This window comes from Homo sapiens, chromosome 15 (assembly GCF_000001405.40).
Source record: "Homo sapiens chromosome 15, GRCh38.p14 Primary Assembly".
NCBI classification, from domain to species: domain Eukaryota; kingdom Metazoa; phylum Chordata; class Mammalia; order Primates; family Hominidae; genus Homo; species Homo sapiens.
The window spans coordinates 27,564,605-27,582,090 of record NC_000015.10 but is presented as its reverse complement, the minus strand read 5'-3'; positions in this window follow the sequence as shown (position 1 = coordinate 27,582,090).

Sequence of the window (17,486 nt, the reverse complement as noted above, 5' to 3'; positions counted from 1 at the left end):
AGAAAATAACTTTTACTGAGATCTAATTATATCGTATCTTCAAAGAGAGGTTTTTTGTTGCCTTTCTTATTTTTCTTTTTTTGTCCAGCCTATTTCTTGGGTTCACTTCAATCCTACACAGAATAAAATACCCAGAGACACTGGAGAGACGTACTCAATGGTGGTGAAGAGCGTCTGCCTATGTATGCACGTTCCCAGCCAGGACAGCACACCCCAGCTGCAGGTGCCTTGCCCCGAGCATCCTCATCTCTCCGTCAGAACAATCCTCATCTCTCCATCAGAACACCGTGTTGACTGGGTGTTCCCACATGGAAGTGCTCGGCCTTTTTATGTCTTAGGCGATGCACCCAATGTATTTTTCTTACCGCACACAAAAATAGTTTGTACATCTGTTCCTAATGGTTCTTTTCCCTGTGCCTAAAACAATATATTGTTTTTACGCAGTGAACCTCTAGAAACCTGAGCCAGCTTTTTTGTCTTGATTTTTTGTCTATGCAGTTAAGAAAAAAGAAGACTTAGAAGATGGGAGAAAATTATCCTTTTTCTAGATAAAAATTACCCTAAAATGTCAATTTTTCCAAATAATCACCAAAGCAAGTTGCTGAAATAATTGACACTCTTGACTAGAACAGAGCAGCTATCTGCACTGATTAGTCCTGTGTCACTAATACATGCATGGACCCACACAATTTGAGACATTGACCATCTTTTTTTTCACTTAATGATTGCCAGCTTTCATCTGAGTCTGGAGTCATGGAGTTGCTATTAACCCCAGAGGATACCAGGGTAGAAGAACTTTCAAAGTTTATGATCAAGAACACATGGTTTGGATGAAAGCAATAGCTAATTTATTATTAAAAATATCTAGATGTATATTTGGAATCATTTTTACAATCTAGCATAACCTATTTTTGCATCAATTAGAAAAATAATTCACCTTCAAAAGGGGAACATTTTTTTTTTTAAAAAATGAGTCTTGAAGGGTGTGATGGTTAATTTCATGTGACTAGTTGATGAGACTAAGGGATGCCCAGATAGTTGGTAAAATATTCTTTCAAGGAGTGTCTATGAGGCTGTTTCTGCAGGAGGTTAGCAACTGAATTGGTGGACTGAGTAAAGAAAAAATCACCCTCACCAGTGTGGGCGGGCATCATGCAGTCCACTGAGGGCTCCAGTAGAACAAAAAGGCAGAGGAAGAGTGAATTTGCTCTTTCTGTCTTGAGCTAGGACATCCATCTTCTGCCTTTGGCCCTCAGCACCCCTGATTCTCAGGCCTTTGGACTTAAAACTGAATTACACTACCAGCTCTCCTCGTTCTCCAGCCTGCAGATGGCAGAGTGTGGGACTTCTCAGCTTTCCTAACTGTGTGAACCCACTCTCATAATAAGTCTCCTTTTGTATATTTATATACAGTTGACCCTCGAACAACGTGGGGTTTGAACTGCACTTATACAAAGATTGCTTTCAATGAATGTAGTCAGCCCTCTGTATCCACAGGCTCTGCATTTACAAGCAAATGTGGATTGAAAATACCGCACTTCTTGGGATGCAAACTTGAGTATATGGAGGGCTGATTTTATGTATGTGGGTTCTCCAGGGCTGACCATGGGACTAGAGTATGCATAGATTTTTGTATCTATGAGGTGGGTCCTGGAACCAATCCCCTGCAGATACCAAGAGAAGACTGTATATCCTATTGATTCTGTTCTCTGGAGAAATCTAACTAAGATAGGAAAGGGGAACTTTGGAACCCAAGAGAGGGTTGGAATTGCCCCTTTTCTACTTTGAATTTCAGAAGGCATTAGTGGCCTATGTCCCATCACTACAGAGTCTGGAGGACATAAATATGGCTGCGTGAAAGGTCATGACCTCAGCTCCCCTTTGGTTTATAGAGTCAAGAAGGGCCCCAGGTAAGATCTGGACTTCAGTGGGACACAAAGAGAGCTGGGGCACTGAGGCCATGATGAAGGGCTTCTGTTACAAAAACATGCGATGAAAGGTCTGCACTGGGAGGGGTGAGGATGAGCTCCAGGTTCCTGCACCCCCAATGCTGGAGGTGAGTGCGGACCACTGTGCACTGGCTGCTGCTGGTGTGAAGAGGGCCCCACATAGTCTGGCCATGACCAGACAAGATAACATCAGTAAAACTGTGCATGAGTCACCTTGGAACCAAGGAGAAGAGTCCCACATGTGGCCACAGTTACATAAGGACAAGAAGTGTAGAATCGACGTCGGGGTAATGTGGGTGGGAGAACATCCAGAGGGCCAAGGGTCACTTTGAGACTGTGCTTAAACTGAAATTAACCAGTACATCCTTACATTGTTACTGAGTTCACCTGGCAATCATGAGGGTTATACTCCCGCCCTAGGCGGCTGCAGGCCTGGAGTCATGCAATCATCACAGTTTTGCCAAACTGAAGTTCCATTTCTGTATCCTTGCTTCTGTGACTATGTTAGTTGTTACGTGCTGTGCCACCACTACTGCTTCTAAGAATGCTTACTTGGAGTATGTGTGGCTGATCCTAATGCGAGGCATAGTCTGCTTTCCCTTATGAAGATGCTTGATTCTAGTCTTGAGATTTAAAGCTGCCATTTAGTCCTGAGAATAATTGTCAGATTGATGCAAACAGCAAAGACATCACATTCTGTGTGCTTCTAGGATCAATATAAGATTTAAAAACAGATGAATTCTGAGAGAACCAGCTCTGTCCCCATCTTAACCTTCCATTTACCTTATCCCTAGACCAATGAGGTTACCCCCAAGCTTGAGAGGAAAAACAGAGTTGGGAAGATGTTGGGGAGGGTCTCGCTGTGGACCATATCCTGGTAAGCAGAGTAAAACCCTAGTATGACTTAGTAATGCTAACAACTCTAGTAGATAAAGCCCTTGGCCTCAATGACCTGACATGACTGGGCTTATTTCTTGCTTAAATGCTGCATTCAGTGTGGACTATTACAGGGTAGTTTTTGGCACTCAGCTTCCTTGTCTGAGGCTCTGTCCTCTCCTGTTACCTGATGTTGCCTGCATGTGGGAAGGGAATGAAATATGGCACACGAGAAGTGTCTATGGGCCTGGATGGACAGCAATTCTGTTCGTGTTCCTGTGGCCACATAACCACCCCTCTTACAAGCTCTGTGCCTAGAATAATGAGACGGGTATGGAGAACACTTGGCAAGTCCCTGCTAGACCTCATCACATGTCTGGAAATCTGACAAAAGAGGAGCTTCCTGTATTATGGGGTCATGGAGAGGAAGTGGCAGCTCAGGTTCTGAGTTCACTCTAGTCGTCTGGGTTTGTTTCTGGGTTTTGTATTCTGTTCCATTTGTCTATGTGTTTGTTTTTTATGCCAGTACCGTGCTCTTTTGGTTACTATAACTCTAGTATAATTTGAAGTCAGGTAATGTGATTCCTCCAGTTTTGTTCCTTTTGCTCAGGATAGCTTTGGCTATTCTGGGTCTTTTATCGGTCCATATAAATTTAAGGATTGTTTTTTCCATTTCTGTGAAGAATGTCATTGGTATTTTGATAGGGATTGTATTGAATCTGTAGATTGGTTTGTGCAGAAGGGACATTTTAACAAAATTGATTCTCCTAATCCATGAACATGGAATACCTTTCCATTCTTTGTATCCTCTGCAATTTCTTTCATCAGTGTTTTATAGTTTTCATTGTGGAGAACTTTCACTTCTTTAGTTAAGTTAATTTTTAGGTATTTAATTTTATTTTTGGCTACTATAAATGGGATTACTTTTTTATTTCTTTTTCCTATTGTTCATTGTAGCATATAGAAATGCTACTACCGATTTTTGTATGTTGATTTTGTATCTTGCAACTTTACTGAATTTGTTTATTAGTTCTAATAGCTTTTTGGTGGAATCTTTAGGTTTTTTCAAATATAAGATTATATCATCTGTAAACATGGATAATTTGACTTCTTTCCAATTTGAATGGTCTTTCTTTCTCTTGTCTGATTGCTCTAAGACTTCCAGTACTATGTTGAATAACATCAGTGAAAGCTGGCATCTTTCTCATGTTCCAGATCTAAGAGGAAAAAGGCTTTTAGTTTTCCCCCACTCTGTATGATACTAGCTGTGGGTCTGTCATATATGGCTTTTATTATGTTGAGGTATGTTTCTTCTATACCCAGTTTTTTGAGGGTTTTTGTCATGAAGGGATGTTGAACTTTATCAAATGCTTTTTCAGCATCAATTGAAATAAATGATCTTTTGGTATTTGTCTTTCATTCTGTTGATATCATGTATCACATAGACTGATCTGAGTGGTTGATTGTATTTATTACACTAATAGTGGATTGCATCTTACACGTGAATTATGATCAAAATAATCCTGTGAAGTAAAAGTCATATTCAAATTTTTCTTTAATAATTCTTTATATCACGATTAAATCACCAAAACACAAATCAAATCTCAGATGCTTAAAAGTCAATGTATTTATAAAAACTGAAATTGACAAAACTAATATTAAGCACAGGATAACAAATAATGAATTTGCTCATTGGCTTATTACTTCATTTGAAAGTTGTATGACAGCCAGGCGCAGGGGCTCATGCCTGTTATCCCAGCAGTTTGGGAGGCTGAGGTGAGGCGCCTCAAGTGAGGCAGATCACTTGAGGTCAGGTGTTCAAGAGCAGCCTGGGCAACGTGGTGAGACCCCGTCTCTACTAAAAATACAAAATTAGCTAGGCGTGGTGGTGCATGCCTGTAATCCCAGCTACTCAGGAGGCAAGGCTGGAGAATCGCTTGACCCTGGGAGGCAGAGGTTGCAGTGACCTGAGATTGTGCCATTGCATTCCAGCCTGGGTGACAAGAGTCAAAACTCCGTTTCAAAACAAAAAACAAACAAACAAACAAACAAAAACAAAAAAGAAAGTTGTATGACATATGACTACATACACTAACTGTGTGATTAAGAAACATAATTCAACCATAATTAAATCTTGCAAGTTCCTAACAATCGGCAGGCATTTTGTGAGTTATTAGCTTGAGACAGACATATAGACATATGAGATAAACATGTGACATACTTTTTATTCTAAGGTCTATAACCCATTTATTATTAATGATCAGCAAATCATTAATTGAATCACTAATTAAAACTTTCGGTCAAATATTTTAATCAAGTTTTTTTTGTTGTTAAGGGATCTATAGAGTGTCAAAAAGATGTTTATAATCACAGTGTGGCTTGGAGGAAAATAAGCCCAGCAGTGAGGTTCTATTTTGTTAGTCTCTCAGCAATCATGTCAACATGCCAGTAGGCCCAGCTAATTGAACTTTGGTTAAATAAACAGAGCATTAGTTTGAGAGGAAGTGTCCTCTGAGTACATCCTATTCATTTTTGCTAACTACAGATTGACACAGCCTTTGGAGGTCACATTGTTGGTTGAGAGACAGTGGGAACAAACAACCATTCTGAGTGGCTTTTCTTTGGTCCTCAGGCAAATTCTGAGGGCTTCATATCAGAGCCTTTGCTTCTTGCAGTGACTCCTCTCACCACCTTCCATCCATTGTGCGTGTCTCTGATGCCTTCAGTACCATCTCCATGATCTTCTCCTTTCCAGAAAGATGGTGGGACTGGAAACTTCAGTAACCCAAACTTTAATGGAGGTAACAGGCACTTAACATCAGTGACTTAGGCCTGGAATATGATGGTAATCTGGAAAACAGAGTGCTAAACGATTGTGTGAGACCACCCAGAGAAATGCTCCATGGACATAAAGAAGACGGAGAGCTCAGGTCAGGCCTGGCAAGTACACAAGAGATGGTCTGTGCTGGGGCAGCCCCTCGTCCACCCTTTTCCTTATGTGTCCTGCAGGCAGCCCCCACCGAACTCTCTCAGGACTGTGCTGGGGCCACTGCTCCAGGTTGACCATGAGTGGACAGAAGGACCTTCAAAACTTTGCTCCCATTGCTCTGGTCGTAGCTTCAAAAGTCTCTCGGCTCACCTGGCCTTCCAAATGTAACAAGGCAAGAGGGAGGTGACTTGAATCATGGACGAAGGTATTTTGGTCACTAAAGTACAATAATCTCACTGGAAATCAATGTATTAGTGGTCTAGTGTTTTTCATTTAGACCCTTAGGAGGTTGGTTATAGTGAAATAATTTTTCTGGACCCAATAAACTCTGGGATACTGAGGGGCTGAAAAACAGATCCTGAATGAGGCTGAGTGCCCAAAGCAACTTCTTTTAGCATAAAAAACAGGTTGCTTTATTTTCATTACCCAGACAATTCCCTCAACCCTCTTCTGTAAGCATTGCCTTTATTAATAAGGGCCAATTATTCTACAAGTATAACAGATGAGGATGTGGGAAAGTTCCCTAGAGTCACTGTAGTTGGTGTCAAATAACATTTCAACAAATTGACTTTGAAGATCTAATTGGCTTTTATGAGTGGTTTCATGGACCAGGCAGCAACTCCTGTATGAAACAGAAAGGGGTTCTCGAAGCTGAGCACAGCGGGTGGGCTTCATAGACAGAAAAGATCGAAGAAAGCAGAAACAAGGAAGAAAAAGCAGATTTTTCATTTTAAAGTGGCTTTCCTGGTATGGGTTAAAGCAGAGGAAATTCCTTGTCAGGCTTGCTCCTGTTGACTGGGAGTCTTTTGATGGGTTGCTGGGACTCTCCTGTTTTTTGGAAAACTGGCCCATTTCTAAATTCAGTTTAATTGTGTGGCGCTTAGCATGAGTGGACTCCATTCTGGTTTGGTCTGGTCTGCAGGGGGCCTAATGCAGGAGGATAGTCAAAACAATGGCCTCTCACAAACTTTATTTGTTACCTCATTTACCTCGCTCCCTAAATGTGCCATTTCTTCTAATTTCAAATGTGTTCCTATAATTCCTACAAAGTGATCAGTTAATCTTTAAAAATGTCTATACACTTGAGGGACTGAAAATAATCCTCACTGTGTTTTCAAGCCTTTGACCTGTGACTCCCGTCCCAGTGGAAGGTTGTTCTTCATATATGTTCCAGATATTTGGGAAATGAGTTCTAGCAAACAAAACCTCATCTGGGAATTACTGAAATAATAACGTAAGATCTAGAAAATCATTAGGATTTGCAATCAGATGAACCAAACATATCAGAAGGAAGAGATTCATAGGGGCAAGCCACAGGGCCCGGTTTCTGAGTCCTGAAGGAACTATTTGATTTGGCAAACAGGGCTGTGACCACAGAGTCAGGTGGGTGCATGCCAGGGACCCAGGTGCGGGTGAGATCTGAGGCGCTCCGCGGCTCCCAGCCTGGGGCCCGGGCTTCAGCTACCGCCTAAGGAGCACCGCTTAAGGAGCGACCACCGTGTGCCCGCTGCACCTGGCATCCTTCTAGGCACTGGGCACACTAAGAGTGTGGTGGAGACAGATAAGCGGTTGCAATTTTGAATGAAGCGGTTTGGGAAGACCTCAGAGAAAGGGGACTCCTGAGCAGAGACCAAGGAGGGGAAGGAGGGGCAGGAGGGGCTCGGCATGATCGGAGTGGAGTGGGGGTTGTGGGGAAGTGCACGTGAGCCCCAGGGAGGAAGCGGGTACGAGGGGCGGTGGGGCCCTGCCAGGAAAGGTACGGGCCTGTGCCGAAGTGCCTGCACTGTGTTGCAGAAAGCTCTTTGGGGGCTTTGCAATAACAAGACTGCCGGGAGGAAGGGACGGGAGCTTGTTTACAGGGTGGGGTGAGGCAGCCAGGGCTTTCTTAAATAAAAAATAATACCAGGAGGAAATGGAGCCAGAAAAGTAAGTCCCTGGGTGACAAGGTGGAGCAGCAGGTGCCTGGCACCCCACACACGCTGGGGCCTCCGAAAAGCCCCGACCCGCCGCAGCGCCACCTGCGACCCGGAGGCCACCAGCTCCCAGAATAGGCTGTTTCACTCATCCCTGCCTCTGTTTTCGTATCAGTGAAACGGACTAAAGTAAAGCCTAGCTCGGGAGATTATTCTGAGGACCCCACGGGGATCGCTATGCCGACGGCTTAGAGCCATTGCTCTAATTCAATGATTAAGCCCGACGGGACAACTTAATCATTGAAAGACCTTACCGTGACTTTTATTGACATAAGGAATCATTTACCTCCGTGTTGCAACCAAACGGCCTGCAGCTTTAGGCTGGCTGCGTCCCAGGACCTTAATGGCCCTGCCGAGTGGAATAGGGCAAGGGGGAGCTACTGCCAGGAGAGCTGGTCCCCTGCACACACATCCTGTGTCGGAGCTCTCTTGCAAAGCAGAACAGCAGTGCAGCATGGCGCTCAAAGCACAAGCCCTCCCAGAGAAGGCTGAGACCTTTCCATGCTTTTCCCACACATACACCTTCAGGCTGCCGTTCACAAGAGCCAAGAAGTCCCACCTGAGTTGGTGGGACCAAGAAGAACCAAAGCTGAGGTCACATTTGATGAAAACACCTATCGCACAGTCTCCTGGGTTTACTGAGCAGTGATAACAAGAACGGGTTTATAAGACAAGATCTCAAAGGAGAACTGAAGAGTAGGTTAGTGGGAAATGTAACGTACACGCCAGGATTTTCATTCATTTTTGTTTGATTTCCTGAGGAATTTAAATCAGTGTCACTACATGCTAAAGTGTGTTTGCGGTGTGTCCAAAGCATCCAGGATGTTAGATTTGTTAAACCAAGTGAATGTCCATTGATGTTTTGACTGAAGTGACTGAATTCCCTAAATATTAATCTTAAAGGTTGCGTATTTGCTTCAGACAGGGCTTGACCTTCTCTTAGCTTATGGATATGTAGATCACTAAAAAGCATATAGAACCAAGGCAGATCTATTTGCAGAATAAAATATGGAATAAGTAATTTTTCTATCTCCATAATAATCTCTACAATAACGTCAGATAAAGTGAATTTCAGAGCTAGGAAAATTACCAGGGATAAAGGTGGTCATTGCATAATGATAAAAAGGTAAATTTACCAGGAAGACACAAAAATTCTAGAAGTGTATGCACCTAACAACAGGTCAGAAACATGAAGGTAGAGCTGAAAGGTGAAATAGACAAATCCACAATTATAATCGGGACACTTCACCTCTCCTCAATCAGTAATTACAAAATCAGTAAGCTTGTAGAGAAACTAAATGATACCATCAATCAACTGGGTCCCATGAACATGGGACCCCATCCAACTGCAGCACACATATTCCTTTCAAAACATGGGAAAACCCCATCCAACTGCAGCACACATATTCCTTTCAAAACATGGGAAAACCCCATCCAACTGCAGCACACATATTCCTTTCAAAACATGGGAAAACCCCATCCAACTGCAGAACACATATTCCTTTCAAAAGTTCAGGGAACACATTTTAGGATACTGCATAACCCATATCATAAAACAAACAATTTTAAAATAATTGAAATCCTACAAAGTATGTTTTCTGACCATAGCGGAATTAAATAGCTATGGATAACAGTAAGAAATTTGGAAAATTTCCCTATACTCTAAAATTAAACAACATACTTTAAAAAATTTACAAGTCAAAGGAAGTTAGTAATTATTTTGATCCAAATGAAAGTGAAAATATAACATATCAACATTTGTAGAATGCACCTATTACAGTGTTTAGAGGGGAGTTTATAGCGTTAAATGCTTATTGATAAAGAAGAAAAAACTCAAATCAACAAAATTTTCACCATAAGAAATAAGGAGGAAAAAAGAACAAAAGAAACCCAATGTAAGCAGAAGGAGTACTAGAGATAAAACAGAAATCTATGAACCTAGAATAAAATAAATATAAAAATTATTAAAAGCAATTTCTTTAAAAAGATCAAAACAATTGATAAACCTCAAAAAGAGAAAAAAATTACCAGTATCAGCAAGGATATCACTCTAATCTCCATAGATAACAAGAAATATTATTAGTATCCCTTACTATTGTCTTCATTGTTTATTAAACAATTTGCCACTGCACTCCAGCCAGGATGACAGAGTGACATCCTGTCTCAACAAACAAAGACAAACAAACAACACAAACAACAGAAAATAAAAAGAAAAAAGAAATAACAAAAATTCTATATCTGTTTTCAGTAAATGAAAAACACTTCCCAATTCATTTTATGTCTGATATCAAAATTAAAGAAGGATGATTATTTATTAATGCAGACAATAGGGAAATACAAAAGCACTGTGTACATATATTTGATAATTATTTAGAAGCTGAAAACTATCAAAACTCATTCATAAAAAGACCAACAAACTGTCTAGTTTTATATCTGCTCAATAAATTGAATTCATAATTAAAGACCTTAAGAAAAAAATCCCGGGTCTGTGCATTTTTATTAGTGAATTACATCAAACATTTAAAAAAGAAATAATAGGCCAGGTGTGGTGCTCACATCTATTAACCTAGCATTTTGGGAGGCTGAGGCAGGCGATTGCTTGAGCCTACGAGTGCAAGTCCAGCCTGGACATCATGGTGAAATCCTGTCTCTGCATAAAGTACAAAAATTAGCCAGGCCTGGTGGTGCGTGCCTGTGGTCCCAGCTGCTCGGGAAGCTGAGGTGAAAGGCTCACTTGAGCCCAGGAGGTGGAGGTTGCGGTGAGCCAAGATCATGACACTACACTCCAGCCTTGATGACAGAGTGAGTCCCTGTCTCAACAAACAAACAACCAAACACACACACACACACACACAAAATAAAAAATCAAAAAGAACAGAAAATCTATATTTATTTTCCAGTAAGTGGAAAAGGAAACACTTCCCAATTCTTTTTATGTCTGATATCAAACTTAAAGAAAGATGATTAAAGAGAACTATACTCGACTATCCCCCATAAACACAGGCACAAAAATACACAAGAAAATAGCATATCAAGTACAGCAATGTATTAAAAAAATTAATACATTATGACCAACTGGGGTTAATTTCAGGAACACAAGGCCAATTTGATATCTAGAAATCGATCAGTAAAAGCCATCATATTAACAGATCAAAGAAGCAAAACCACTTGATCATATTAGTTGACACAGAACAGGCATTGACAATTTCAACATCCACCCAATGGTAAAAACTGTCAGCAGCAAACTGGAAGTAGAAGGGAAAGAACATCTTTAACCCGACAAAGGGCATCTATGGGAAAAAAACAACAGTAGAGCAGATGTTATACTTAATGGTAAGGAAATGAATGTTTACTCCCTATGATCAGGAACAAGGCAAGGACGTCTGCTCTGACCGTTTCTATTTAATATTGTACTGAAAATCCTCGTTGTGCAATACAATAAGGAAAAAGAAAAGACAGATTGGAAAGGACAAAAGAAATCCCTATTTGTAGGTGACATAATTCTTTACATAGAGAATGACAAAGAATCTGCCAAAAAGATCCTGGAACAACCAAAAAAAGTGAGTTTAACAAGGTAATTGAAAACTGAAATTTTTTTAAAATGTCATGTATGGGCCCCTATAATCCCTGCTACTCCGGAGGCTGAGGCAGGAGAATCGCTTGAACCTGGGAGGTGGAGGTTGCAGTGAGCCGAGGTTGTGCCACTGCACTGCAGCCTGGGTGACAAAGCAAGACTCTATCTCCAAAAAAAACAAAAACAAAAACAAAAAAAAGCCATGTTTAAAAACTTCAAAAATACTTATGTATAAATCTAATAGAGCATGTATATGCTGAAACTACACCATGCTAATGAAAGAAATCAAATTGCTAAATAAATGAATAGGTGTATTGTGCTCATGATTTGGAAGACTCATACCTACATCAGTGGAATGGAATACAGTCCAGAAGGAGAGTCATACAATCATGGTCAATTGATATTTTTTATAAATATTGAAAACAATCAAAGGCAATAAAACATTGCTTTCAGCAAATGTTGGAACAACTGGACATCCATATTCCAAAAAAAAAAAGAACCTCAACTACTTCACATTCTCTATAAAAACTAAAAATGGAGCACATCTAAATGCAAAATGTAGAAGCATAAACCCTTTTTTTTTTTTTTAAAGAGAATGGGATACCATTTACCTTACCTTGGGTTAGTTAGGTAAAGAGTTCTTAGGCATGTTACCAAAAGCATAATTCATAAAAGTAAAAATGATAAATGAGACTTAATATACATAAAAATGTTTGTTTTTCAAAATGCAGTTGAGGGAATAAAAAGCTGTAGCTTGGGAGAAAATGTTTGCCCAGCATGTATTTAATAAAGTAGCTGTATCCAGAATATAGAAAGACCCTTCAAAACTTAATAATAGGAAAACAAATACCCAATTAAAACATGGGCAAAAGACTGGAAAAGGCACTTCACCAAAGAAGATAACCTGAGTAACAAAGAAGCAATGCTCAATATTATTAGTCAGGAGAGAAATGCAAATTAAAACCAAGATGAGATAACACTGTGAAATTAGAATGGATAAAATGTAAAAGATTGGTGATACCAAGTGTTGTCAAAGATGTAAATGTAAACGTAAAATGGTTTAATTCTTCGGGATGTTTGGCAGTCTCTTTAAGATTTAAACATATACCTACCATATGATCCATTTCACTCTTATATATCCAAGGGAACAAAAAACGTATATTTGTGCAAAGACTGTATACACAGATATTCATAGCAGCTTTATTTGTAATAGCCTCAAACTGGAAACAACCTAAATTTCCATCAACAGAAAAATGGATAAACAAATTTTGCTATGTTCATTCACTAAAAGAGAAAGAACTGTTGATACAACAAGAATGAATATTTATCTGAGTGAAAGAAGTTAAACAAAAAGCAGTACATTCTATATGATTTTATTTGCCTCAAACTCTAGAAAATGCAAACTAATTTATAGTGACAAAAAGGAGATCAGTGCTTGCTTGTGGACAAGTGGTTTGGGGATAGGTAGGAGGAAACTTCTAGAAATAATAGATTCATTTTCCATCTCGATTGTGGTGATAGTGTGTGATTACAAAAATGAAAATATTAAAGTATACATTTTAAATATATGCCAGGTAATGCATGTCAGTTAGACTGTGATATAACTGTTATTTTAAAAAAATGTGGATTTCTAGTAAGACAAGGTCCTGAAATTTCTGGAATCTGCCTAGGCTATCTTTAAGGAATGGAAGAGGAAGTTCATCAAAGCATGGTGCCTTCCCTCCTCGGGAGCCCTCCGGGCTGAACACATATGAAGGTGTGCAGTTCTGAGCTCGAAGCTGCCCCATCCTCAGGACCCCAGGGGTGAGATGTAAACAATGGGCCAGGCTCACCTAACTGCAGTGAACATGAAAACAACAAAACAGCCCAGACTAACCTGAGTAATCCATTCTGGGTTTTGAAGGATTTGTCTCTATACTGTTAATAGTAGCTAGAGCACTGCCATCTCTTGGATGTAGCAAAAATCAATCAATCAATTTATTTTAAATGGATTTGGATTTGCTTCTTTCAGAACAGGAAATTTAGTTTTATTTAAACAAAACTATCTAACATTTAAGTACTCATTCTGTTAATCAGAGAATTTGAATGTTACAATTCTGGCTGTATGTCACAAAGCAGTTGAAAATCCAGCCAGAGACAATGCAGGTGTTAGATCAGTGCCAAGCCCAGGCTTGAGTAGGATCAGCTCTGGACTGGAACCACCTCAGAGCAGTGCCTGGGCTCGTCCTGCCCACTGGCACATTGGCCATGCCTTGACCTTTACGAGGTAAAGGGAAGATGCTGGTTGAAGAAGACTCCACAGAGCACAGTGGACAGGGACTGGGGTGTCATCAGATGATGAGGACATGGTCTTTACTTGCACCCTTCCAATGTCCCCGGCTTGATTTTCATTCTCTTAATGAAAAAAAAAAAGGCAAAGAGCAGAAGTTTTTTATTCTGATGAAATCAAACAAATTATCATTTGTTTCTCTTTATGAACCATACTTTCAGTGTCATTTCTGAGAAATCTTTATCTAAATCAAAGTTAGAAAGGTGTTTCTTCTATGTTTTCCTTGAGAAGTTTTATAATTTTAGGATTTATATCTTGGTCTAAATCTATCTTGCATTCATTTTGTATGTGGTGCAAGAATGTGGATCCAAGTTCATGTTTTTCTGTTCTTTTTTAAAATTCTTGATGACATTTCTTTAAAAGATTATCCTTTGTTTCTGAATTGCCTTTATACCTTTGTCAAAAATTCATTGTCTGACTATATGTACGTCTATTCTCAACTCTCTTCTGTTCCATTGATCTATTTGTGTATCTTGATGCTGGTCTCACTAAGTCTTCATTGCTTAATAGTCTTGAAATTGGGTAATGTGAGTCCTCCAAGATTCTTCTTCTTCATCAGAAGTGTTTTGCCTGTTTCACATTTGCAGCGACCTGGAGGGAATTGAAGACTATTATTCTAAGTGAAGTAACCCAGGAATGGAAAACCAAACATCGTATGTTCTCACTCATAATTGGGAGCTAAGCTATGAGGATGCAAAGGTGTAAGAATGATACAATGGACTTTGGGGACTCCGGGGAAAGGGCGGGAGGAGGGTGAGGGATAAAAGATTACACTTCTTGGGTGATGGGTACACCAAATCTCAGAAATCACCATTAAATAACTTATTTATATAACCAAACACCACCTGTTCCCCAAAAACCTATTGAAATACATACATACATACATAAAAGAAGTGTTTCTGCTTGTAGTTCTAGCCACTTCTGCTTTATATATTTTGAAGCCCTGTTATTAGCTACATAAACATTTAAGACTGTTTTGTCCACTTGATGAACTGATTCCTTTATCAAGATAAAATGACTTTAATTATCCACGGTGATATCATAATCAAGTAGCTTAGTTTCAAAATGCATTTTAGGCTTGGTGTGGTGGCTCACGCCCAGAATCCCAGCACTTTGGGAGGCCAAGGTGGGCTGATAACTGGAGGTTAGGAGTTCTAGACCAGCCTGGGCAACATGGTGAAATCCCATGTCTACTAAAAATACAAAATTAGCTGGGTGTGGTGGTGCATGCCTGTAGTCCCAGCTACTTGGAAGGCTGAGGTATGAGAATTGCCCGAACCGGGGAGGCGGAGGTTGCAGTGAGATGAGATGGTACCACTGCTCTCCAGCCTGGGAGACAGAGTAAGACTCTGTCTCAAAAAAAAAAAAAAAAAAAAAATTTAAAAAGTGTTTTCTTCTCTGTAGTCTTTGTTGTATTTTGGCTTCTGGGCAGCAAGCAGCCAGACTGGCATTCAGTTACAGTATTTCTCGCTCTGAAACCTGCTTCAACTGATGGTAATATAGCCACTCCAACTTTCTCGTGATTAGTTTTAGAATGGAATTTCTCACTTTTTTGCTTTTGTCCTATTTGTGTCTTAATATTTAAAATGTCTTTCTTGCAGCTAGCCTACAGTGTGACTTGCTATTTACCCACACTGACAAACTCTGCCTTGACTGGAGTATCTACACTGCTTGCATCTCTGTGTTCTGTCCTCTGCACTCCAGCTGTCTGGTCTCCTGGACTCAGCAAAGCCTCTTCCACTGCAGGACGAGGCATGGATCCACCCACTGCGGGACCAGGCATGGGTCCCCGCACTTTAACCAGGAAACTCTCTCAAGGTACCAAACTGGAGCAATCACAGGGCTCACCTTGTCTGCTTCTCATCTCTTAGAGATTACTGTCCCTCATTTTCTGATGTGCAAGCTCTTGAAAACTTGTTCAAATATTCTCTCTCTCTCTCTCTCTCTCTTTTTTCTTGAGATGGAGTTTCACTCTTGTCGCCCAGGCTGGAGTGCAGTGGTACAATCTCGGTTCACCACAACCTCCACTTCCTGGGTTCAAGTGATTCTGCCTCAGCCTCCCAAGTAGCTGGAATTACAGGCATGCGCCACATGCCCAGCTAATTTTGTATTTTTAGTAGAGATGGGGTTTCTCCATGTTGGTCAGGCTGGTCTCAAACTCCCAACCTCAGGTGATCCGCTGCCTCGGCCTCCCAAAGTGCTGGGATTACAGGCATGAGCCACTGCACCCGCCGCATCTCATTTTTTTTATGTCAGGTACAAGAGTAAATTTTGTTCCTGTTACTCCATCTTGGCAATGAAGCAGAAGTTCCTCCATGATGATTTAAAATGCTATTCTGCTTTCCACATTGGATCAAGTCCAAGGACTTGAAAGGAAAGAGGGCTTCTCTGCCTTTGAGCTTTTCCTCCCCTCTGTTTCTGGGTTCTTCCCCTTTTGCTTATTGAATCAGTTAGTAGGGAGATCAGGGAGTGTTTTTCTTAGCTGGAGGCAGCTGCACAGGTTCTCCGTGGTCATTCTTGGTGACTCATCCTCTCAGATGCTCTCTTACTTGGGTTTCAGCCTTCCCCAGCCGATAAGAACGCTTCCTGTCTCTCCTTCCCTCTTTTTCCTCCCCTTCTTTTAAGTAAATTGCAGAGGAATGGGGGTAATGGCAGGGATGGCAGGGCCGGTTGAGCAGACTCTTAATAAGAATGGGATGTGTCTGAATTCAGGGTGTGGGAGACGTGGTCTTCTTTGTCCTCGGCTTCAGTTCCCACTTCCCAATCCTGGAACAAGGGTGGCAGTTCTCACTCAGAGTTGTTTCACCCACCCTCCCTTGCCAAGGGACACTGGACAATGTCTGGAGACAACTGTGGCTGGCACACTTGGGAGTGGCTGCTGCTAACATCCAGTGGGAGGAAGCCAGGGGTGCCACTAAACACCCTACAAGGGACAGGGCAGCTCCCCACAAGCCAAGGGTCAGGAGTGCCCAGGTTGAGAGCTCCTGGGTGCAGGGAGTTGTTCCAGACAACATCCCTTCATACGTAGATTTCTTCTCTCTGCTATATTGTGGTTTTTATATTCTTGATGCTTGGCACATAGTAGTGGTTATTTGTTTACTAGATATTTATGTAGTTACTAACATACATCAGAAACCAAGGCTCAACTTGAAAAATAAAGAACTGGTCCAAAACACACCACAACTGAGGCCACTCTGTCAGCTGGTACTGACTACACCACTTGCCCCTAAATCTCAGCAGTAGCTAATAGTCAGGAAGGAGAATACGGGGAGAAGATGTTCTGTGGCGGAGCTTTCCAGTTCACTAGGCCTTGTGCAGGCAGAGGGCTTCTGAATTCAGCACTGAGATAAGTACCAGATCAGGCAGTACCCATATGCCACTTTGAAAACTACAGTTTTATGGAGAAAAATTCAACTTAAAGGCTCAGTGTGGACACATCAGCACCCACACACTGTGTGTGTGTGTCAGCTGTGCTTCCTTCTGTACACATAAGAGGACACAATGGGGTTGTGTCCTCCCTGGCACCTGCACCGCAGGATGGCACCTCGACCTGACACAGTGGCCAGAGGAGAGCACTGAGAGGGGGGTGGGGGGAGGCTGTGGCTCTGTGGGGCTGTGTGTGTGGGTCTTCCCCCTGTGCTCCTAATTCCACTCATCCCATCCTTGCAGGGCTAGTTGGGGCATCTCTGAGACAAAGGGAAGGGACTGATGCCTGATAAAAACAGAAGAGATTAGGGCAATACCAAAAACTTAATATGGATGGCAGCAGCCCTTTTTGCTTTCCCATGCACAATCT